The sequence below is a fragment of the Homo sapiens genome, chromosome 8 (genome assembly GCF_000001405.40).
Source record: "Homo sapiens chromosome 8, GRCh38.p14 Primary Assembly".
Classification (NCBI taxonomy): domain Eukaryota; kingdom Metazoa; phylum Chordata; class Mammalia; order Primates; family Hominidae; genus Homo; species Homo sapiens.
Genome location: NC_000008.11, coordinates 87194694 through 87220966, shown reverse-complemented (window position 1 = coordinate 87220966; position 26273 = coordinate 87194694). Strand labels below are relative to the sequence as shown.

The following is a 26273-nucleotide window of genomic DNA, read 5'->3' as shown; positions in this document are numbered from 1 at the left end:
CATTTAAATTACCAAAGCCTTAAAATTTAGAATGCAGCAATAGTGGCATTCTCATGTAACACTGGGATGATATATTTCTGATCATTTGTAGACAACTATCGAGATATTAAAATATACCCACATTTTGATTCATTACTTTTAACTTTAGAAATCTGTCATAAATAAATAATCCAAAATACAAGTAAAAGTTACTGTAAGTATATATTCAGGACCACAGTATTCATGATAGGAAAATATGTACAACCTTTTTAAAAAGATTGATCAAGTATAACATATCTGTATGACAAAAATATGCAGTTATTCAAAAGTGGTGTTTGCAGAAATATTAGCAGTTCAATTATGTGAATGTTGAGCTGAGGTAAGGTCTAAAAACCTATGAATTTGAAAATCAGAAGCATATACATTAAAGTTGAATCACAGCAATGAATTAAAGCTCTCATCAAAAAAATGAAAAAAAAAAAAAAAAACTTGGACAGTTAGGGGAGGTTCCAGGAGAACTCTTGTAAGGGACAGAAAGAAAGTGAAGTTGCAGAGACAAGAATGAATCAAATTGTTCATAAAGGACCTTTGTCAGATGCTGGTCTTCTTCTGGACTTGCTCTCCCTAAAAGGATATCACTAAATCATCCTGGCTTGAGGTGACTGGTCAGAGGACTATTGGTAAGGCAAACTACGAACATTGCAAACTTTTAAAATCGACCCTCTCAATGAAGCCAATTGCAGAGGGAATAAACACGGAAATGAGAATTCATCATATTCATAGCATTAAGTGAATTCATCATATTCATAGCATTAAGTTACTTTAAAAAATAGTTAAATATTATTGGCGATTGCATAAAGGAATAATTTATAATTTTATAATACACAAATGATTGTAACAACCTATTAATTATTAATCCTTTAAAAAATCACTAAAACATTTTCAAAAATGTTATTTTGCTTAACTTTAAAAGTTTAATCCCAAAGTTTATAGGAATTTATGATAATTAAACTTTTTTATTGCCTATTATTTTTTAGTATAATAATATGAATTTTTTAGACTTGTAAAATATATGAACTAGTGAATGGACATCTATTAAGATACTAATGAGTCAAAATATTAAGAAGTATGTGAAGGGTACCCAAAATATAGTTAACTCTTATTATTCCCGTAAGTGATTGTATAAGCATGTGACTATTTTAACATTGTTTGGTTCAAAACTAATGTAGATATGCCTGATTCCAAACAGTAAGCATGAACAATAAATATTGAACAGTTTAGAAACTGTGTTTCTTATTTAATTACGAATTTCAGTTGTTCATGACTTGTCCATCCAACTGTTCAGCTAAGCTCCAAGTCTGTATTTAGTATTTTATCACTTGCTGATCATCACTGTGTACTTAGAGTTACTATAGGAGTATTCTGGCTATATATATGCATATATATTCTGGCTATATATACATATATATGGTCTTTAGACATCCTGTCATTAGGATGTATTCATTGATTTGTGGTTAAGCTGAAGGTATAATTTGTCTTGAAGGGTATTTAAGTATTTCAAGACCACACTGTTATCAGTAAGACTTTACACATCTCTGTGTAATCACGTCCACATGTAGAGGACCTATGTGCTGATGAGAGTCTGTTTTCATTTATGTCCCACATTTTCTTCAAGTTCAGTCACATTCATCCTTACCTTTTATAATACTTATTGTAGTTTTCAAGTTATTCTTCCAAGATTTGAAGTACTTACTGAATTTGTGTTTTTATAGTCGAAGTAATGAAAATGCTTTTTGATTTATATTTAGATATTTAAGACAGTTATCAAATGACACACGTATGTCTAAGCCTCATGTATCAATTTGAAGTCAGATTTAAAAATATATACAGATTGTTATTTTTTATAATTTCTTCAAATATTTTGTTTACATTAAAAATTTCCAGAGAAGGAAAACAGTTTCTTATTATGCATAACAACACATATTAAAATCAAAGCCTTTGACTTTTTTCAGTAAAGGATTTCATTTGTTATCTAAAAGGATTTATCTTGTGAGCATACAAAAATACAGATAATATTGTTTAAAAAGTTAATGAAATACAGTGAAGATAAACATAGGAAAAACTGATGAAGGCAAGAATAATATTAAATTACAAAACATATTCTGTGAAATTCTATATATTTTCAAGGAGGTAATGCTGGATACAGGGACAATTTTAGCTCCATTTTCCTTACTTTTAAAACATTTCAATCTTTTAAAATTTATATCAAAACAATATCATATCTATTTAAAATCAAATAGTTTTTAAAGGCTTTCTAATAGCCAACATATAAGAGGAAATATGATCAGTTACAGGATTTAGTAACTATAAAAATTCTCAATAACATTGAATATATTTCTCCCAAAAGTTTACACTTTAGTATAAACATAACTAAGATTTTCACAAAAGTAATTAATAGAATACCCTTTACCAGGCATAATAGACTATTTCTAAGAATTTAAAAATCACTTTTACATGGGAAGGTCAAAAGAATGGCACCGTGATATGTGGCCATAGAATTCAGCATTATAATTGAATGATAATCATTAGTTTATCTGGAAGAATGCATGAACTACATCTATTTCAGATTATCATCTAGCAATAAATATTTTGTTCCTGAATGAACTTTAGATCAGTACTGCGTATTAAAGTTTACATTGTTGGAAATTACCTCCAATGCTAGTTAATGCATAGATTCACCTATCAACTATTTTTTGAGTAACTATTATGTCTAACCACTGCAGATTAAATTATGTTTCAGATCAAGAGCATGTGTGTGTTAGAGTCAGCCCTGCCAGGAGTGGGGAGGAACAAATAGCTTTGGGATATTGAAGAAGCCCCCACATGCCTGAAGAAAGTATTATGGTTCTTACACCCATAGGTATTCGGGTGGAAGAGCTAAGAATTTTTTACCTCTAAAAATAAATCAAAGCACCTATACCACCAAAAGAAGGTGTTTTTTCTGACTCCAAGTTATATACCATCAAGCTTTTAAAATTTGCTATGAAACGCCCTTCTACTAAAACAAACAAAAATCTCAGAAAGGTCTTTTAAAATTTGTTTAAATACCAATTCTCAATAAATATAAAGTCCAGATGGTTTCTCCACTTTTTACGGATTTTAAAATATATCCCTGGATAACCAGATGAATTGGCTTTTCAAGATTTCTAGTATAAGCCAGTCAATCTTGAGAATAATCTACAAAAACAATAATATGAGCTTTAGAATTGGTTTCTTCAGTCATTCTTTCTGATAATAAATATCATGAATAGTTGGCTATTAAAGTCAAACTTTTTTCTCTCCAGTGAAAAAGTTATTTTAACTTCAGACATTAACATTTAACAGTCCCTGTGGCTATTTAAAAAAAAAAAAAAAGCTTAATAAAAAATATCTACCTTAAAATTCACCAATAATTGTTATGCAATCTTATTTTTTCCATGTTTGTTGTCTAGATTAGATTTTGATTGAAGTACATAATGACTCACAATATTTTTCTGAAATCCTCATTCTGATTCTAATATTAAGTCATACCACATTTTAATCCTAAATGTGTCAATTTTACTAAATCTCCAATTACTTGGGGATAAAACTGTATCCCCTTATGGGTACAAAACTGAGTGACGATTTGATTCATTTTCCCATAAAACACAAGATTTTTAGCCAATACATCTTATTAGAAGTTTATTTTACATCTTCTTTTGACTTTTGGTCTATTTATAATGTGCCATATAATCACATTTTTCAATGCTCTAAGTTTTAAAATAAACACATATTTATTATTTTCCTTTGCCATTAAAAATCATCTTCACTCTCTTATTGGTGTCACTTTCATAAAAAAGAGTTTATTTTGCAGACATTTAAAAGATTAAAATTTACATTGAACATTAAATTCAGGCCAGTGCCATAAAAAGGACATATTACATCAAGAGCCATTCTCCTGATAACAGATAACAGGGAGAGAATTAGCATCACCATGCAAGACTGTTCTCACACTAGAAAAGATCGTAAAAGCAATGGCACTGATTTCTATAAGCCAGTATTTCAGCAAAGATATTTTAGATTACCCATCAAAACCTGTATCAATTAATGCCACATATTATTCTAGTGAAGGCTCTTTGATGATACATGTTAACAAACAAGTTTCCTTGATACTATAGCTTAATTTTATTCATGGAAAAATGTAATTCATGGAAAAGGGTAAAACAAAGCTAAAGGTTGGCTTCAGAAGACCCAGACTCAAAAGGCTTGCTTCTACCCTTCACTGGTGTAGAACTAGTAAGATTTTGAAACTCAGAGTCCTCAAACATAAGAAAGGGACAGTGAGCTTTATCCTGCACAGCTAAGAGGATTGTCTATCAAAGGATTAATGGTAGTAAAAGGAATGTACACATCATAAAATACTGTTACTCTAATATAAGAGATTATAGAAAATCTATAAGAAATAAATTTCTTTCTCATATGACAGAATTCCACACAGTATGTTATGCAAAGGTGCTTTCTGAGGGGAGTGGGAAAACACAGGTAAATTATATTTCTGAAGTTGTGTAGTGTACGTGTATGATATATTCAATGTATGGTGGCATACTGATGTCTCTGATATGCTAATTTTTCATTTTACTTAACTTTGTTTAAATCATTTCACAGAAAGAGTTTGTCTCAGCTAACCCATTTCTAGTGGATTTTTAAAATTTCTTTTGTATTTCTCTTTTCATATTAAACAAATTTATTAAAAGAAATTGATTTCAATCACAGGGCTCTCTAGGAGCTGGCTTGCATTATTGGTGTCCATTGGTCTCCAATTGATTTTTAAAAAGCATTTTAAAAATAGCTTACATAAGAGGATATTATTCAGCTATTAAAGAAACAATTAACAGCTCATGAGGTACAATGAAGTACATAATGCAATGCAGATAAACCACGAAAACACTATGTTAAGCGAAAGAACTCAACACAAAAGGTCACATATTGTATGATTCCATTCATGCAAAATGTTCAGAATAAATAAAACCATAGAAATAGAGAACAGGCTAGTGGCTACCAGGGTTTAGGGGAATGGTGAGTGATTGCTTAATGGGCATGGGCTTCCATTTTAGGATGATAGAAATTTTGGGGGAACTGGATGCTGTGATGGTTCCAAAATATTTTTAATGTGCTAAATGTCACTGAATTGTACACTCTAAAAGATTAACATTATCCCAATTTTTTAAAAGGCTTAAAGATACAATTCAATGAAATTCACCCTTTTAAAATGTACAATTCCGTTGAATTTTACTATATGTAAAGATACATTGAATCTCGTCACAATCTAACGTTAGAATACTTTTATCATTCCCAAAAGAAACTCTTTTTTTTTTTTTTTTTGAGAAGGAGTCTCACTCTGTCGCCCAGGCTGGAGTGCAGTGGCGCCATCTCGGCTTACTGCAAGCTCCGCCTCCCGGGTTCACACCATTCTCCTGCCTCAGCCTCTGGAGTAGCTGGGACTACAGGCACCCGCCACCATGCCCAGCTAATTTTTTGTATTTTTTTAGTAGGGACAGGGTTTCACCATGTTAGCCAGGATGATCTCGATCTCCTGACCTCGTGATCCGCCCACCTTATGCATCAGCAATAATGTCCCTTACCTCATATCCCAAAGGTGGCAACCACTATGTTACTTGATGTCCAAATGAATTGGCCTATTCTGGAGATTTCATATAAAAGCAGTCATAAACACGTGGCCTTTTGTGACTGGCTTCTTTATCATAATGGTTTCAAGGTCTACACAAGTTTTGGCATGTATTAGTAGTTCATCACTTTTTTCACCCCAAAATTTTCTATTATAATGATATGCACATATTTTTTAAAAGTTTCTTCACTCATTGATGTAAATTTGGTCTTTTTCCACATAATGGCTACTGTGAATAATACTGCTATAAACATTTGTATATAAGTTTGGCATTAATGTATATTTTCATTTCTTAGATGTGTATTTAGGAGTGGAATTCTGGGGTGATATGGTTTAACTGTGTCCTCACCCAAATCTCATCTTGAATTGTAGCTCCCATAATTCCCAAGTGTTGTGGGAGGGACCAGGTGGGAGATAACTGAATCATGGGGGCAGTTTCCCCCATACTGTTCTCATGGCAGTAAGTCTCACAAGAGCTGACGGTTTTAGAAGGGGTTTCCATTTTCGCTTGGCTCTCATTCTCTGTTGCCTGCTGCCATGTGTGATGTGTCTTGCTTCAACTTTGCCCTCTGCCATGATTGTGAGGCCTCGCTAGTCACATGGAACCATAAGTTTATTAAATCTCTTTCTTTTATAAATTACCCAGTCTCAGACATGTCTTTATTAGCAGCTTAAGAACAGACTAATAAAGTAAATTGATACTGGTAGAGTGGGGTGCTGTTGTAAAGATACCCGAAAATGTGGAAAAGATTTTGAAACTGGGTAACAGGTAGAGATTAGAACAGTTTGGAGGGCTCAGAAGAAGACAGGAAAATGTGGAAAAGTTTGGAACCAAAATGCTGAGAGTGATATGGACAATAAAATCCAGGCTAAGGTGGTCTCAGATGGAGATAAATAACTTGTTGGGAACTGGAGAAAAGGTGACTCTTGCTATGTTTTAGCAGAGACTGGCAGCATTTTGCCCCCGCCCTAGAGGACTGTGGAACTTTGAGCTTGAGGAAGATGATTTAGGGTATCAGCAAAGCATTCAAGAGGTGACTTGGGTGCTGTTAAAAGCATTCAGTTTTAAAAGGAAAACAGAGCATAACAATTCAAAAAATTTGCATTCTGATGATGTGACAGAAAAGAACAACTGCAGACACTCAACACTAGCCCATGAAAGTAGCTGGGATCCTGCAAAGCCACAGGGGTGGAGCTGCCCAAGATATGGGAACCCACCTCTTGTATCAGTGTGACCTGGATGTGAGACATAGAGTTAAAGGAGATCATTCTGAAGCTTTAAGATTTGACTGCCCAGCTGCATTTTGGACTTGCATGGGGCCTTTAGCCCCTTGGTTTTGGCCAATTTCTCCCATTTGGAACAGCTGTATTTACCTAATGCCTGTACCCTGATTGTATCTAGGAAGTAAGAAATTTGCTTTTGATTTTACAGGCTCACAGGTGGACGGGACTTGCCTTGTCTCAGATGAGACTTTGGACTGTGGACTTTTGCGTTAATGCTGAAATGAGTTAAGACTTTGGGAGATTGTTGGGAAGACATGATTGGTTTTGAAAAGTGAGGACATGAGATTTGGGAGGGGCCAGGAGTGAAATGGTATGGTTTGACTGTGTCCCCACCTAAATTGTATCTTGAATTGTAGCTCCCATAATTCCCATGTGTTGTGGGAGGGACTCAGTGTGAGATATTTGAATCATGGGGTTGTTTCTCCCATACTGTTGTCATGGTAGTGAATAAGTCTCATGAGATCTGATGGTTTCATAACGGGTTTCTCCTTTCACTTGGGTCTCATTCTCTCTTGTCTGCCACCATGTAAGATGTGTCTTGCTTCCCCTTCACTCTCCACCATGATTTTGAGGCTTCCCCAACCATGTGGAACTGTGAGTCCATTAAACTTCTTTCCTTTATAAATTATCCAGTCTCAGGTATGTCTTTATTAGGAGTGTGAGAACAGACTAATACATGGGGCAAATGTAACATTATGGTTAATATTTGAGGAATTGCCAAAGTGTTTTACAAAGTGGCTTCATCTTACAATCCCAAGACAAATGTATGAGTTCCAACTTCTCTACATCCATACCAACGCTTAATACTTTCTTTTATATTTTAATCATGTTAGTGGGGATGGAGTAGTATGCCATTGTAATTTTTATTTGGAATTGCTTAATGACAATAATGTTGGACATTTTTATGTGCTTATTGGCTATTTTTATATCTTCTCTGAAAATGTATCTATTCAGCTAATATACTCATTTTCGAAATTGGGTTAATTGTCTTCTTGTTACTCAGGTTTACAAGTTATTCATATTCTGGACATGAGACCCTTATTAGATATATGATTTGCAAGTACTGTGTTCCATTTCAAGGGCTGCATTTTTGCCTTATTGATTCTATTCTTTGAAGCTCAAAATATTTTAATTTTTATAAGGTCCAAATTATTCAATTTTTTCTTTGTCTCTTGTACTGTCAGTGTTATGTGTAAAAACACATGGCTTAACCTGTGATTATGAAGATTCTTAAGTTTTTCTTCTAAAAGTTTTATAGTTTTAATTATTACCTTTATATCCTTGATTCATGTTTGGTAATTTTTTGTGTATGTTGTAAATTAGGGGTCTACCTTCATTATTTAGCATCTTGATATTTAGGTCTCCAAGCATAATTTGTTGAAAAGAGTTTTCTTTCCACCACTGAATTGTCTTAGTAACCTTGTCTAAAACCAATAGACCATCAAGTTAAAACATTATTTCTGGACTCAATCTGTTCCATTGATCTCTCTATATATTTATGCCAATATCACACTTTTATGTTACTATAGGTTTGTAGTAAGTTTTGAAATAGAGAAGTGTGAGTCCTTCAACTTTATCATTTGTTTTCAATATATTGTGGCTGTTTTGCATCTCCTAAATTTCTATATGAATTTTAGGATCAATTTATTAACTTCTGCAAAAAAAAGACAATTGGTATTTCTGTTAGGGATTGTGTTGAATCTGTAGATCAATATAAATAGTATTGCTATCTTATCAATATTAATTATGTAGATCAATGAATATTGGATTACTTTCTATTTAATTTCTTTCAACAATGTTTTATAGTTTTCAATGTACAAGTCTTGCACTTCATTTGTACAATTTATTCCTAAGCAGGTTATATTTTTGATGTTATTGGCAAATTGAACTGAATTTCTTAATTTCATTTTTATAAATTAATTTTTATTCTTAACTGTTCATTGCTTGTGCTCTAAATTCTCCTTTAAGTACTAGATAGACTTCATTATTAATCCATGTGGGTCAGGGATTTTCTTTGTGAGAATATTAAGTTACCAATTTAATACATTAATTTATTTTAGTTATCCTTCTTCAAGTTATCCTTCCTTTGAGTCAATTATGATAGTTTGTATCTGAACTTGTTCATTATATCTAAGTTATATGAGTTTCTATAATATAGCATGTGTTAGGTCATTCATGCATTGCTATAAAGAAACACATGAGACTGGGTCATTTATAAAGAAAAGAGGTTTAATTGGCTCATGGCTCTGCAGGCTGCATGAGCATGGCAGGTGCTGGTATCTGCTCAGCTTCTGAGGAAGCCTCAAGGAGATTTTACTCATAGTAGAAGGTAAAATGGAAGCAGACGCATCACATGGAGAGAGAAGGAGCAGGAGAGAGAATAAGGGGAGGTGCCATACACATTTAAACAACCAGATCTTGTGAGAACTCACTCACTATCATGAGGACAGTACCAAGTCACAAGGGACCCACCCCCAAGAACCAGAAACCTTGCACAAGGCCACATCTCCAACACTAGGGATTATATCTCAACATGAGATTTGGAGGGGATGTCCAAATTATATCATTCTGCCCCTGGCCCCCAAATCTCATATTCTTCTCACATTCCAAAATAAAATTATCCCATCTCAACAGTCCCCAAAAGTCTTAACTTGCTCCATCATTAACTCAAAAGTCCCAAGTCCAAGGTCTTATCTGAGTTTGAATCCATGTTCCTCCCACCTATGAGCCTATAAAATCAAAAAGTACTATTTACTTCCAAGATACAATGGGGAAACAGGCAATGGAAAAACATTCCCATTCCAAAAGGGATAAATTGACCAAAAGAAAGAGGCTATAGGCCTCAAGCAAATCTGAAGCCCAGCAAGGCTTAAGTCTTAAAACTCAAAATTAACTTCCTTTGACTCTGTGTCCCAAATCTGGAGCACACTGGTACAAGTGGTGGGCTCCCAAGGCCTTGAATAGCTCTGCCCCCATGTCTCTGCAGGGTATGGCCCCTGAGGTTGCTCTCAGGGGTAGGAGTTGAGTAGCTGCAGCTTTTCCAGGTGCAGAGTGCAAGCTGCCAGTAGATCTAACATGCTGGGGTCTAGAGAACAGTAGTGCCCTTCCCACAGGTCCAACTAGGTAGTGCCTTAGTGAGGACTCTGTGTAGGACCTTCAATCCCACATTTCCCTTTTGCATAACCCTAGTAGAGGTTCTCTGTGAGGGCTCTACTCCTGTAGCAGGCTTCTGCCTGGGCATCTAGGTTTTCTCATACACCCATTGAAATCTTGGCAGAGGCTGCCAAGCCTTCTTCACTGTTGCAGTCTACATGCCCACAGGCTTAACACTACATGGAAACCACCAAAGCTTATGGCTTGTACCCTCCAGAGGGGCATCCCAAGCTATATATGGGCCCCTTTGAGTTGCAGCTGGAGTGGCTGGCATGTAAGGAGCAGCATCCTGAGGCTATGCAGGGCAGCAGGGTTCTGTGCCAGGCCCACAAAACCATTGTTTCATCCTTAGCCTCTGGGCCTATCATAGGAGTGTCTACCTAGGAGATCTCTGAAATGCCTTTGAAGCCTTTTTCCCACTGTCTTGGCTATCAGCACCTAGCTCTTTTTTAGTCACACAAATATTTCTAACAAGTGGTTGCTCCACAGCCTTCTTGGATTCTTCCACCCATAATAGCTTTTTTGTTCTTGTTGTTGCTGTTATATGGGTAGGCTGCAAATTTTCAAAACTCTCATGCTCTGCTTTCCCTTTAAAGAGAACTTCCAACTTTAAGTCATTTCTTTGCTCCCTTATCTGAACATAGGATGTTAGAAATAGCCAGACCATATCTTGATCACTTTGTTGCTTAGAAATTTCTTCTACAGATACTGTAAGTCGTCACTCATAAATTCAAACACCATTTATCTCCAACACCATTCATTAAAGAGACTGTCCTTTCTCTGTTGAGTGTTTTTAGCACCTTTGTCAAAACTCAAGTAAAGTGGGAAGAGCACCTTATAAAACCATCAGATCCCATGAGAACTCACTCAGTATCATGAGAACTGCATGGGGGTGACTGCCCTCATGATTTAGTTACCTCCACCTGGTTTCTCCCTGAACACGTGGGGATTTGGGAAGATTATGGGCAATGCAATTCAAGATAAGATTTGGGTGGGGACACAAAGCCTTATCATATCAACATATCTGTTTTTATGCCATTGCCTTGTGTTTTTATTATAATCACTTTTCAGTGTATTTTGAAATCAGAGAGTGTGATGCCTCTAGCTTTGTTCTTTTTGCTCAGAATTGTTTTGGCCATTTGGGTTCTTTTGTGGTTCCATATGAATTTAAGAATTGTTTTTCTATTTCTGTGAAAAATGTCCTGGAATTTTGATAGGGAATGCACTGAATCTATAGATCAATTTGACTAGTATGAGCATTTTAACAATATTAATTTTTTCAACCCATGAGCATAGAAAGCACAGCTTTCTATTTATTACTATTTTTCTCAATTTCTTTTATCAATATTTTCTAGTTTACAGTTTACAGGTCTTTCACTTCCTTGATTAGATTTACACCTAAGTAATTTTTTATTGTTATTCATAAATGGAATTGTTTGCTTATTTTCCTTTTTGAATATTTTATTAGTAGAGAAACACTACTAATTTTTGTATGTTGATTTTGTATCCTGCAATTTTACTGAATTCATTTAACTTGTCTGCCTTTAGTGTCAGGGTAATGCTGGCCTCATAAAATTAGTCTGGGAATATACCCTCCTATTCAATTTTTGGAAGAGTGTCAGAATAATTGATATTAATTCTTTTTAAAATATTTGGTAAAATTCAGCAGTGAAGCCTTCCTTTCCTGGGTTTCTCTTGGATCTCCTTTTTTTCTTGATGAGTCTACATAAAGACTGGATTTATACTAAATCTCAGCTAAAGATTTTATTTCTTCTATTATAAGAATAAATTATTTGAATTATGGTTAATTGATGTCTAGAAAAGATGCCCACTACATATTTCATGAGATTTAGCTACCATATTTTTAGTTGTTAAATAAAATATAAACCACAACAGAAAATAAAATCTATGCAGGTTAAAGAAATGTTAGAACCTTAGTAATATAAAAATATTTTCAGCATTAAAAGTAAATATACAATTTAATGAAAATGAGGAATTACGGAGTTTTTGAGATACAATCTCATAAAAGTGGGTTACAGAATGAAATAAAGTGAAAGAAATAGAAGAGAAATAATACTGTAAGACAAAGGACTACACAAAGAAAACAGTCAAGGTGACATAGATATAAAAGAGAAAAACATTATTTTATAGAAATGGGTTTTAATATTAACATAAAGCTAGATAATAAAAGTTTGATCTGGGATATTGTTACAGGTTAGTAACTAAACTGGCAATTCTTTTAGTTTTCATGAGCTTTAGGTTATCAATCATAAAAATGTCCCTTGTTCAGGCCATAAAAATGTGATCTAATGAAAAATCCTTCCATTTGACTTCAGTAAATTATATCTACGTACACATGTATATAGAGAGATGACTATATGTAAAATACATTACATACAGTAATTTTAATATAAGTACTCATATATAGTAATATTAATATAGTCAGTAAATAATATAATAATATAGTAATCATTTTTTGTAGCATTTTAACTTAGACACACATAATGTGTTTTATTCACTACTTAGAAATATAATATTGTTTTCCTATTACTGTTCGATTATTTATAAAACCTGAATGATCAAGAGGCTTAGTGAATAATGGTAAGTTTAGGAAGCTTTATTAAATAATGAGGCTTTAAGAACTAGTGGCCAGAAAAGAGACCAGAAGGTACAAACAGCTGTGTGGAATTGCACCAGAGAAATGGAAGCCCCAGCAGCAGATTGAAAGTCAGCAGCCTGGTGATGAGGGGCTACTAGAAGGAATAGTTTAAATAATAGCAGAGGGAGGGAAACACATACATGAATAAAGAAAAAGGAGAGAGACAGACACCTAGTTGGGCCTTTTTACTAAACTGGATGAACAAAGAAATCTACAAAGGTCATATATTTAATGAGTTGACTTCTTTGGTAGTGAAACAGATCTGAGCTGTCGGAACTAAATGCTTTAAAAACTTGAGAGGGATTTTGACACAGGTAGGTGTAAACACAGAGTCTCCTAATTTTTAAGTGTTGAAAGTACACCCTATTGAAATGCAAGTTGGAATACCTGACACTTGTGAAAGATTGAAAATTCATATTTTAATCGTCAATCACGTGAGTTAAGGTGCCATCAAATTAAATGTTTGTTTCTAATTTTAATTTTAGAAAATGTTTGAAAAAAATAAATGTATAATTACAAATATTAACAAATAAATAAACACATTGTGAGAGAATAAAACCAACTCAAATATATGTAGAAGAAAGAGTTAATTTTAGCCCTTTATCACCCCTCAATTTCACTCCCCTACACTAAGGCAACAATTTTTAAAAATATGTATTTTTGAAATGTCCTTCTGGACCCACTTGTATAGTTTAAAAAGATATATGTTTATGTGTGTGTGTGTGTGTGTGTGTCTATGTGCATAAATTTAGATTTTTTCATAAATGTGTTATTAATATAATTTGCAATTATTCTATTTACTCTTTAATGTTTCCATATCAATATATATAAATCTAGTTCATTCTTTTTAATCACTGTCTAGAATTCTATATAATAGATATATCAAAATATGTATAGCCAATCTTCTATTCAAGGACATTTAGATTGTTCCCATATTTTTTACTGTTACAAATATGTTTTCAGTGATTTATAAAACAAATTAAGTTTTAATTACTATCCTCAATCTAATAGCAAAGCAATGTTGAATGTTTGTCCTTTATTCCCTTTCAAAATTATTTTATCCCCTTTAAAATTCCTTTGATTTATTTTTCATTGCTTGATCACAGATTAAATGGAACTAATTATGAAAGAAGACCATGGAGGGAAAACTCTGGAAATATGTAAATTTTTTCAATAGACACATATTCTTTAAAATTCCAGTTAAGTTTTAAATGTCATGATCTTGATAAACCAGTTTGTACTAACAGTGACATAATACACAGAGAACAAGTTAGAATTAGGCTGAAGTGTGTTTGAAACTCGATTCTAAGCAAGAATGCTCTGTGTGATATTTGTGCCTCGGGGTCCTCATCTGTGGAGAATAATAATAGCAATATCTTCCTTCATTTATTTTTCTGAGGAACAAAAAGGGATGCTTCTGACATAAAGAATGTATTAAATTATATGCCTAGCCCCCGTAATTAAAATATAACAAGTCTATTAATATATCCACTAAATCCTTCATGAAGGGACCAAAAGCTAAAATTGGGAAATGAAAATCTATCTAGAGAGGCTTTTTTCCCTATATCTGGGTTAGTATCTGACTTAGTCAAATAATCATGTTGACTATCTGCTGTTTTACCTATGAAAATCAACACTATATTGTTACTAAATGTGTATCTCAGATATTGGTTCCACAAGTGTGGTCCCTGCACTGGTGGCATCACCTGAGGTATTATAAATGAAATTGAGGCCTCATCCTATACCTACTGAACCAGAAATTCTGATGTTTAAACCCGACAATATGGGTCTCAATGTGATCACTGGGTAATTCTGAGTCATGCTCCAGGCAGAGAAACACAAGTATATATCTTAAACTCTAAGTACTAAAATGTGAGATGTTATTCATTTCACTACTTATAAACTTACAAATGAAACACACCCAAATAGTACATTTTTACCATGTCAACTGAAATTGTTAAGTGAAATTATAAGCATTATAATGATAAAGAACTCGAAACAGTGGCCTGCATTTTATCTCGCCAAATTTATCCCACATTAGTCTATTACCTGTGCTGCCTTTCAACCAGGTTTCGGAAAAGACAGTCTTACTAAGTGTTTTCAGATGCTTATCATTTAGCTGAAAGGTTAAATCTGGAATTGTTTTCAGGAACTTCCACACAGTTTTGTGTTCATATGGCGTCCTGTGAATGGGCCTCAAAAAAAAAAAAAAATACAAATTCAGAGACCATGGCATAAATGCAAAGAAACAAACAGATCCTTAATTTTTAAGTTTCCAAATTTGTATTTTCTGTTTAGTTAAGGGTTTTTAAAAAAGAACTGTGATGCTATTCTATTTTTTCTTACTAATCAACTTTAGGATTTGTTACCCTTCCGACATTAAGATGCGCTTTCACAATACTTCAAACTTTAGGAAATTACACAATGCCTTTTTAAATAGAAAATTTCTTTTTAAATAGAAAACTTCTTTTTAAATAGAAAACTCAGTACTCCTATTGTAAAGTTGCATCTCTTATCAGTAGTTATTATAATAGTAATAAAGACCTCTTTTAGATATTAAAAAGATTAATGTTGTTTCCACTGTTTATTCTTAATTCTTTTAAGTACTATTAAAGTTAGATCAAATGGAAATATACTTTAACACTTAAGGGTATAAATCGTTAAGTGAAAAGATACGTATGTACTTTTAAATGAAACATGATTATCATATAATACATGGTATTTATTATTTATTTTTAATCATTAAAACTCTTCAATAAATGTAACACTAAATCAGGATATAAAATTCCTATCAATCTGATGTCTCAAAGGACTAACCTAGCTGTCATAAATACCATTTCAAAATACTCAGCAGTTGGCCAGGCGTGGTGGCTCACGCCTGTAATCCTAGCACTTTGGGAGGCCGAGGCGGGTGGATCACGAGGTCAGGAGATCAAGACTATCCTGGCCAACATGGTGAAACCCTGTCTCTACTAAAAATACAAAATGCTCAGCAGTTTTCAAGCAAATTTTTAAAATTTCATGTGAAAAACCAATTTAGCATCATAAAGGGAATTTCAGATACCCATACCACACATATGGGTTTGACAGTAATAGTCCCAGTTTAGATATGACATAGTGTTGGCCCATCTGGTATCCATGTGTATGCATACAGGTTTATGTCTGTGTGTGTTTATAGAATGATATAAATTGTGTTTTTTGTTTTGGGTTGTAGCAAAAAAAAAAAAGTTTAAAAATACTAGCTTAGTATACAGTCCTGAGAAATAGTTTTGAGAAAACTTGCTCCCTACCTAATGTCATTTACAAATTTGTTCTTCAGATGCAATAAGAAATAATTCGTATTAGAAATGGCATGATATCATAACCAAAACCTAAAATATGTGCCATTGACTTAGCAGCCAAACAGGAGGTGGCAAGGAAATAATATCACAGGCTGTAAAGACAGAGGTTTTTCTTTTTTTGTTTATTTTAGTGGTAATACATTTATTAGTTGCCTGCAATCATTTGTAAGGCAGATCAAGTGCCTAGAAAACTTGCTACTTCATAGAAAGTAGCTGGAAAGAGCCAGAAAGTTATTCTGTTTTGTTTGCTTAGTTCTGCTTGTTTGTAGCAATGTATTATTAACTGATTCAAGTTTGATCAGTTTTCAAGTATAAATGAAAGGGAATAGAGAGGCTCTAGAAAAGTGGGACATGGTTATAAAAAGCCCAGTACTTCCTCATCCCATGTAGCAAGAAAAGACTTGAAAGTCTTCTCAGTTAAATAAAGGTGCTTAACCCTATGGCAAAGGTCTGATGAAATAGTTTGGCCTTCCCATCCAAGCCTACCTTTTCAGAAGGCCTTAAAGTAGCCTCCATTAAGAGAGAGATGGGCACAAGGAATAAGCACAGAAATTAGAAACAACTTAAAAACAATGTCTACAACATAACCTTGGCTTTGGCTGCTGCCTCATAGAAGATACTGAAAACAAATAGATACAAATTCTGTTATGTTTTTGAAGCATCTGTACCACTGAAATACCTAATATTATGCTCCAAAAAAAGTTTTGACTCATTGAACTTGCAAACCAAAAGAAATTGTGCCACACTCCTCATCCTTCAAAGGGAACATGATCTCCAGTGTTCTTACATTTGTCCAACAGGTCAAAAGATAAGACAAAACCTCCCAGGTAGTGGAGCCAGGTGTTCCTCCCAAAAAACAGATCTAAGGTCTAATTTTTAAAACTTCCAGTACTGTTAGGGTGGAGGATTTTACAATACTAGCCCAGCAAAACAGCAATGTTGCTCTGAATCAATGACTGTAATGTGTTTCCATTTCTTCCTTTTTTCTTAGTGTGAGTTTTTATTGTAATAGCCTATTCCTGGCTCTGCTATTGTGTATCGTGTAAGGGGATAGCAACAAATAATCATATTTCTGGTTTTTATGTTAGCAGACCAGAAATATACATATTCATTCTTGATGGGGAGGAGGGTATGTCCTCTAAAATTCTGGACTTTGAAATGCGTAACTAGTGAAACTTTCTGTTTTTTCTTTTGGTGAAAGAGTTAATATATGTGTTGAAAAAGGGTATGCATAGTAGTTGGTAACTAGAAAGAGGCAAACTACAGAAGAGATGCTAACTGTTCAAAAATGGGTTCCTTCTATCTCTAGTTACACAGCTAGAATGCATTTCAGAATCATTCTGTTGTCACCATGTGACTGAATTCTAGCCAATGGGAAGTGAACTGACACAGAGATAAAGTGCAGCATATCAAATGGCCAAATTTTGTAAATATTTCATTTAAATCTGAAAGAATGTGTATGTGCATTTGTTAGGTACAAAAATCATTTGTTTGTGTAAGTGTGTACATATATAAACACATATACAATAAAAATGTATAATAGTATGTATGTACATCAGATATATTCATAATATAGATATGCATGGATACATGTGTGTTTGTGCCTATGTATGCATATAAACAAGTGCTAACAAATTTATAACACTATGTGTCTGATATTCTTTCTGTAGATAAAATATATTATATCAGTATACTTCCTTTACCAAGCGTATTCCCATTCAACGAATAGAAAAACTCATGCACAGAATTGTTAAATAACTTACTCAAGATCTCATGTCTAGTCAGTGACAGAACTAAGTGGCAGGGTTCAGTTTGGCCTTGAATTGTATGTTTGAGAGTTTCAGCCCATGGTCAAAAATTTTTTGTGATTTTTCAGGTACAACCACAAGCAATTATAATGGCTTTAGCTGGCAGGCCTCATGGGGGAAAGTTGCCCTCCCCACACCAGACTGGCTACACAGCCAGTGCACTGCAGTCTCTGACAGGAATTGCAGTCAAGAACTCAGCTTCCTGGCCAGCCATGCTCTCATGCTCATCTGCATTCCTAGTCGAGGCCTTCTATTTGGAATTCTCCTTGTTGGAGGATCTTGAAAACACTTTCTGCATTCGGACTCATTCAGTACTCAGGCATTTTCCACTTCTAGCCTTGCCCCAGACCTCACCCCAACCCCCAGGTCTATAAAACTGCAAAAGTCTTTCCTCAGAGCTCCCTCAACAGTCAGACAGCCATTATGTTAGTACTAATCTACCCGACCCGTAATTGGTGCATACGCTCATGGGGCAGGTGGATGTAACATGAGGTCAGTGCTACCTCCAGTTTGAGATTCTTGCTTATTCCTTCACAGTAAGTGATTAAAGACTTGACTATTACTTGCATTTGGGCTTGTTGTTTTATCAGCTATTCTGATACTTGCTGCTCCACGTTCTCTCTCTCCAGCTCTTCTAAGTTCCTGACAATGTTTTTAACCATGATCCATATTATAATTTATTACTGGTTATTATTCTAATCTTCTGTATCTTTCCTTGTATTGTATGTTTTCTATCAATTTGGTCTATATATTTCTGAGGTATTTGGATTAATATTGCTATTATGGACTTATCTATTGCTCCCCAGAATTCAGTCAGTTACTGTGTTAACATATTTTAAACTGATGTTATCTGATGAAAATAATCGTTGCTTTTACCAGTACATAAAGTCTATCTTCATTCCTTCTGAAAATTTTCCTTCAATTTTATCTTGTCAGCTACTGGGTTTGCGTATTCCAGCTTCTCTTGGCTTATATATTTGCCTACATATATTTGTTATTACATTTTCAAAATGATGTCTATTTTGTATTTTAAATGCTGAACTTCTATCAAACAAACTATGTTGGATGTCTGTTACCAATATTAAGTTTTTTCCCCTTTCTCTATTAAAAATACAAAAACTAGCTAGGTGTGGTGGCAGGCTCCTGTAAACCCAGTTACTCAGGAGGCTGAGGCAGGAGAATGGCTTGAACCTGGGAGACAGTGAGCCAAGATTGTGTCACTGCACTCCAGCCTGGGCGACAGAATGAGACTGCATCTCAAAAAATAAATAATTTTTTTTAAAAATTAAGTTTTTCAACCTCTGAACATATCTTTTCATTTACTTGGACCGTCTTTACCTTCAACAGTTTTATTAGTGTACAAGTCTTGTACATTTTTCTTAAATTCATTTCTAAGTATTTTATGTCTTTGAGGGTATTCTAAATGGTTTTGTTTTCCGCATTTCATTTTTGGATTTTTCATTGATGGTGTGTAGATTTGATATTTGTATATTGATCTTGTATCCTGAAACACTGCTGAATGTGTTTATTATTTAAATTGAATCCACTAGATTCTTTTGGATTTTCTATATGCAAAATCATATCATTTGCAAACAGAGATAGTTTTAGTTTCCTTTTCCATTCTGATGACTTTTACTTCTTTCTCATGAATGACTGTCTTAACTAGAACATTCACTATAATGTTACATATAAGTGGCCAGAGTAGATATCTTTGTATTTTCCTGCTATTCAACAGAAATCATTCAGTCTTTCTTCAAGTTAGCTGTGAGTTTTCCACTGATGCTGTTTATTAGATTAAGGAAGTTCTCTTCTGTTCTTATTATGTTGAGTACTTTTTTTCATCATGAATGGGTGTTGGATTTTGTCAGTTTTTTCATATTTATAAAGAAAATCATGTGGTTTTTTTATTCTAATAATATGGTATATTACATTTGTTGATTATTAGATGTTAGAGCGACCCTGCATTACTGGAATAAATTCCATTTGGTCCTGATGGAATGTTTTTTATATGTTTCTGGATTTAGTTTGCTACTATTTTGTTGAGAATATTTGCATCAATATTCATAAGGGACATTGGCTTGTAGTTTTGTTTTCTTCTGATCCCTTTATTTGGTTTTGGTATCAGGCTAGCTTCATAGAACGAGTTGGGATGTGTTTCTCCCTTTTCTATTTTTTGAAAGATTTTGTGAAGAATTGTTTTTAGTTCCTTAAGAGTTTGGCAGAAATTACCAGTGAAACCATCTAGGACTGGCATTTGCTTTGTGAGAAGTGTTCTTTACTTGGCAATTTAATCTTTGTTATAGGTTACTTTGGAGTTCATTTTTATTCTTGAGTCAATTTTGGTAATTTGTTTATTTCTAGAAATGTTTCCTTTAATTCTAGGTTACATCATTGTTAGCATACGGTTTATTACAGGATTCCTGTATAATCTTTTTTATTTCTGCAGGATAATTAGAGATGTCCTCCATTTCATTACTCATTTTAGTCATTTGAGTCTTCTCTTTGCTTTTTTCTTAGTCAGCCTAGGTAAATTTTTCTATTTTGTTGATCTTTTTAAAGAACTAATTGTTTTTTCTTATTCATTTTTTATTCTCTATTTCATTTATTTCTTTTAGCACTTCAAGTATGTTATGAAAATTCGTTCCATTTTTGTGAGCATTCATTTCACAGCATGAGTTATTTTCTCTTGCTGCTTTCAGTATTCTATGTTTCTTCTAATTTGAACACTGACTGTGATGTTTTTAGGTATGGAGCTTTTTGTGTTTCTACTACTCGGAGTTCACTGATTTCTTCTGTGAGTAGATTAACAGTTTCCCTCAGGTTGGGAGGTTTTGAGCCATTCTTGCTTTAAATATTCTCTGCTCTTTTTTCTCTCCTATTCATCTGGGATTCCCATTATCTTTGTGCTGGTACAATGGATGGTAGCCCACAGGTCTCTGAGGCTGTATTCACATTTTGTATTGTTTTTATTTTTTTTATTTTAAAAACCATTTTATTGGGATATGACTGACATACAAAAAGCTGTACATATTTAAGGTAGACAACTTGATGAATTTGGAGGTAAGTATACACTCGTGCAACCATTACCAAAATCTATGATCAGAGTGTCTCTCCAAAGTTAACAGCATCTGAGAGCCACTAGTTTTCATCTTGGTCATTTTTGTTATAAGTGTTATTTACATTAATTATTTTTAAAAATAAAACAATACAGGTATATGTAAAGTTAAAATGGAAGGTACACCTACTGACTGAACACCCACCAAATCTTCACCAAGAAATACTCATTGTTGACAATTTGGTGTGTAAAACCCCTGCTCTAAAATGAGGGGAATCTTGTGAGGAGAAGGAAACAGAAAGTTATTTGTCAAAAGGTACAAATTTTCAGTTACGGAAGATGAAGAAATTCTAGCAATCTACTGTACAGCATAGTGCCTACAGTTAACAATACAGTATTGTGTACTTTAAACATTGGCTAAGAGGGCAGATTTTATGTGAAGTGTTCTTATCACAAAAAAATAATAATAAAGAACATAAGAAGAAACTATTGCAGGTGATGGATATGTACATAGCATAGATTTTGGTAATGGCTGCAAGAGTGTATACTTACCTCCAAATTTGTGTTGTTTTTCTTTCTATTCTTCTGACTAGATAATCTTAACTGATGTATCTTCGAGCTTACTGAACCTTCCTTTTGGCAACTCAAATCTGTTGTTGAACTCCACTAGTAGTTTTTTGTTTTAATTTTAGTTACTTACTTTTCAATTCCAGAATCTCTGTTTGTCGCTTTTTAATTTTGTGGCACTTTCTCTCATTCTGTACGTGTTGAGACACCATTGCCATTGATGTAGTTTGGATATTTGTCCCTGCCCAAATCTCATGTTGAAATGTCATCCCCGCGAGGTGTTTGGATCCTGGGAGTGGATTCCTCACAAATGGCTTGGGCCATGCTCTCAGTGGTAAGGGAGCTTTCCTTCTGAGTTCACATGAGATCTGGTCATTTAAGAGTGTGGGGCACCTCCCCCTCTACATTTTCGCTTGCTCCTGCTTTCACCCTGTGACATGCCTATTGCCCTTTCACCTTGCAAGATGATTGTAACCTTCCTGAGGCTTCCCTAGAAGCTGAGCAGATGCCCGCACCAGGCTTCCTGTAAAGCCTGCAGAACTGTGAGCCAATTAAACCCCTTTTCTTTATAAATTATCCAGTCTCAGGTATTTATTTATGGCAATGCAAGACTGGCCTAATACAGTCATACTTTCCTCTAATTCTGTAAAGTCCATATTCCCTGCAGTGTATAGCCACAGAAATATCCACTAATTTATCTCACTTGTCATCTAATAATTGTTCAAATATTTCTGTAAATGCTTCAAATATTTCTATAAAAACTTCTGCTGATTGGCAAAAGTTGTGTGTTGTCATGCTTTTCTTGAACTCTTTGGACATGGTTTCCTTTACTTACTTGTTTCTAATCATAATAGTTGATTTAAAATCTTTGTCTGCTAAGTTCAGCATTTGAATGTCCTCGGGATATTGTTTGCTGTTAACTGCTTTTTTTTGTTTCCATATATGGGATACCTTTGCTATTTCTTTGCATGTATCATAATTTTTGTTGAAAACTAAACATTTCGAATAATATAATAGGGGAACTCTGGAAATAAGCTTTTCTCTCCTTCCCAGGGTCAAATAACAACAACGCCCTGTGAATGGGGTTTTTCCATGGAGCTGGTAGATAAGTCACATTGTGGTATGCTCTCAGAGTGGAGCTTTGTGAGGAGTTCCTCACCAGCTGTCTCCTCCAGTGGCTGCAAGCCTGCTGGCTTTCATAGCTGCTATGATTCAAGGCTATCACATAATTGGAAAAAGGAAGATTAAAACAAGTCAATATAAAAATGTTCTGCTTTTCTTACCTAGGCTCTGCTACTTTTGTTGAATAAATGTATATTGTTGCAAACATTTGACTAATTTCCAGGTTTTGAAAAATTTTATTTTGACAATTTTTTCTAGCATTTCATTGCTTTCATAAAGGAACAGTTTCACAGAGGTTTTCACTCCACCATTCTCAAAGTCCTGCACTCAACATTGACTCTTGAATCTCTCCGATCTACAGCAATACCTACAATTTTCTCCCACAGATAAAGGTCAACCTGTATCTCAAGCACCTAATGACAAGGGGTTAGGGAAGTGCACATGAAACCTGAGGGAGGGACAATAAAAATATCTGATAAACACTATTGACTAACAGAAAAGATTAAAGTCACTCAAAAGTTACAGCTCTTTATCATTTTGATGAATGAATGGGCTTGTAATTTACATATTCTAACTCAAAAATAAAAAATATTATTTTATATAACTACTATAATCTTTTTCTGGAAATATCATTCCTGATCAATTTCTATTTTTCACCTTCCTTCTGACTTTCTACATGAGTATCCAAGAACGTATTTAGAATGCCTGATTTGGGCCATGGAGAAACAGAAGTGCTAGAAACACCCATTTCACCTCCTGTTACCACCTTTCTCCCTTGTTTGTATTAACTTATTTGGCCCTGGTCTTAAGGCTTTCCCAGGCTACACTCTGGTAAATGATCAGCAGCAACTCTGCAACTCTGAAATTAAACCTCTTGAGTCTAACATACACCCCTGTGTGTATCATCCTTGGGAGGATAAATAAAAACATTCAGGTATGAAAAATTGGCTTTCACTTCTCTAAATTTGGCTTTCACATCTCTCTTAACCTCTAGTCTTCTAAATTGTCAGGCACACCGTTTACACACATTGTACCCATTCCTTTCTTACCAGTGCTTCCTGGCACACTCTCACTGTAGGAAATACTTCAGTGAATAAAACTAGATTAGCAAAAAGTCATACATTGAGAGGTGTTTCATAAACTGCAGTCCCCAAGGTATTACTAACAGTAGCTCTTTCTTCAATTGTGTCATTATTAAAATTATCCTTATTATGAGTTATCCAGACCACATACAGTGGTGTATAAAAAATACTATTCCCTTTATATTTTCATTAATTCACCTTTCTATCTATTTCTAGACCCAATTCCAGCTGACGGCCAAATTATCCTTATTATGAGTTATCAGACCACATACAGTGGTGTATAAAAAATACTATTCCCTTTATATTTTCATTAATTCACCTTTCTATCTATTTCTAGACCCAATTCCAGCTGACGGCCAAAAGCAAAATTTTAGTGTATTCCAGAGATTTCAGGCATTTCAGTGGGAAACAAAATAATTTCAGGTTGTCGTTTCTTCTCTTTCCTCTCCCAGTGATCACCTCAAACCTAGGGGCTTATAGTCATACCAAGTGGTATCTGGCTTCTGATCATTAGTATCCATGTGGGGTGGCATCTGCTGAGCTGTAATTATCATGTATAGCCTTTGGCATCTGTGCTGACATCCACTGAATTGCTCAGTGTTCCCAGTTGTAGGTACTCATGACCTTGGTGTTCTAAAGCTCTTGCAAATCTGTTGACTTTTCACTCTCAGGCAATTCTTCACACTTCTTGCTGATAAGAAGAGACTTTGACTACTTTAGTGAACATCTGTGAGGCCATGAAAAATTGCTTAGGACTCTCTTAAGGTTTCTATACCCCTAATACTAATTACTCACATTTACTCAGATGTACAAAGGAAAGGGAGCTTTTGCATTTTTCTGCAACTTATCTAATCTTTCTAACAATCTCTAATCTGCTCAGTTGAAGAGTAACCCAAAACAAAACCAAAAAATCTTTGCTCTTGTCTCTTAAAAATATCATATCTTCTGATACAAACAATTTCTGTTCAATTTAAATGTTGAGACTAACACAAAGTTTAGTTCCCCCTCCTAGCTGATTTACATGGCCTTTCTTAAGGGCTTAGGCTCTTAGTAAAGATGCTTAGTCTTCCAGAGTTACTCCACCCCAAATTTTTCTACCTGTGAGGGAGTATAAGTGTTCAAAAGGATTGATTATGTCCTGTGGCAGTGGGTAGGGGAATAACTGATTTGAATATGCTCAAAATTCTGAAGTAACATAATCAATTTATATTACAGAACACATAAAAAAAGCCATTAACTTGGGTAGGATGCGTGCCAAAAAAACAACAGTAAATCAGAACTCTCAGGTACAAGCAAGGGAAGAAATCAGTGAAGAAGTATGCTATAAGAAGCAATATTTAAGTCGGGCGTGGTAGCTCATGCCTGTAATCCCAGCACTTTGGGAGGCCAAAGCAGGCAGATCACTTGAGGTCAGGAGTTCGAGACCAGTGTGGCCAACATGGTGAAACCCTGTCGCCACTAACAATACAAAAATTAGCAGGTGTGGTGGTGCATACCTGTAGTCCCAGCTACTCAGGAGGCTAAGGCAGGAGAATTGCTGGAATCCAAGAGGCAGAGGTCGCAGTGAGCCGAGATTGCACCATTGCACTCTAGCCTGGGCAACAGAGCAAGACTCTGTCTCAAAAATAAAAATTAAAAAAAAAAAAAAAACAATATTTAAACTGAGGATCAAAAAGTCAATATTCAGCTGGGCATGGTGACTTACGCCTGTAATCCCAGCACTTTGGGAGGCCAAGGTGGGTGGATCACTTGAGGTCAGGAGTTCAAGACCAGCCTGGCCAACATGGTGAAACCCTGTCTCTACTAAAACTACAAAATTAGCCAGGTGTGATGGCATGCACCTGTAATCCCAGTTATTTGGGAGGCTGAGGCAGAAGAATCACTCGAACCTGGGAGGTGGAGGTTGCAGACAGCCAAGATTGTGCCACTGCCCTCCAGCCTGTGTGACAGAGTGAGACTCCATCTCAGAAAAAAAAAAAAAAAAAAATCAATTTTCTCAAAGAAATTAAAACACTAAAAAATACTAAACGGGCCGGGCATGGTGGCTCATGCCTGTAATCCCAGGACTTTGGGATGCTGAGGTGGGTGGATCATGAGGTCAGGAGTTCGAAACCAGCCCAGCCAACGTGGTGAAACCCTGTCTCTACTAAAAATATAAAAAATTAGTTGGGTGTGGTGGAAGGCGCCTGTAATCCCAGCTACTCGGGAGGCTGAGGCAAGAGAATTGCTTGAACCCAGGAGGCGGAGGTTGCAGTGAGTCGAGATTGAGCCATTGCACTCCAGCCTGGATGACAGGGCGAGACTCTGTCTCAACAAAACAAACAAACAAACAAAACAAAAAACAACAAAAAAAGACACTACATGAAGAACAAATCATGTTGCAAATGCACATACATACATATGCACACAAAACACACATACACAAAACCTGAATGTAAATCAAATAACTCCAGTCCCTCAGGATAAATTAGTGAACTACAGAATAAGGAGGGGAAACATACAATTTACTCATTTAAAAT

The 26273-nt window shown here is 34.8% G+C and overlaps 1 protein-coding gene across 4 annotated transcripts in view, besides 1 other annotated feature; it reads right to left on the bottom strand.

Moving 5' to 3' along the window:
- CNBD1 (cyclic nucleotide binding domain containing 1) overlaps positions 1–26273 on the bottom strand; it is a 562238-nt gene that overhangs the window by 207686 nt on the left and 328279 nt on the right. For all 4 annotated transcript variants that reach the window (NM_173538.3, XM_047421411.1, XM_024447082.2 and 1 more), the window contains one exon: positions 14829–14974. In NM_173538.3, coding sequence (NP_775809.1) covers positions 14829–14974 — 146 coding nt within the window. The remainder of the gene's footprint in view (positions 1–14828; positions 14975–26273) is intronic.
- Positions 24051–24552: an enhancer, noted in NCBI's record as "NANOG hESC enhancer chr8:88208643-88209144 (GRCh37/hg19 assembly coordinates)". NCBI's record gives its function as "activates a minimal SCP1, AML or CMV promoter by ChIP-STARR-seq in naive H9 embryonic stem cells {active_cell/tissue: H9 hESC(naive)}" and the evidence as "EXISTENCE:reporter gene assay evidence [ECO:0000049][PMID:30033119]".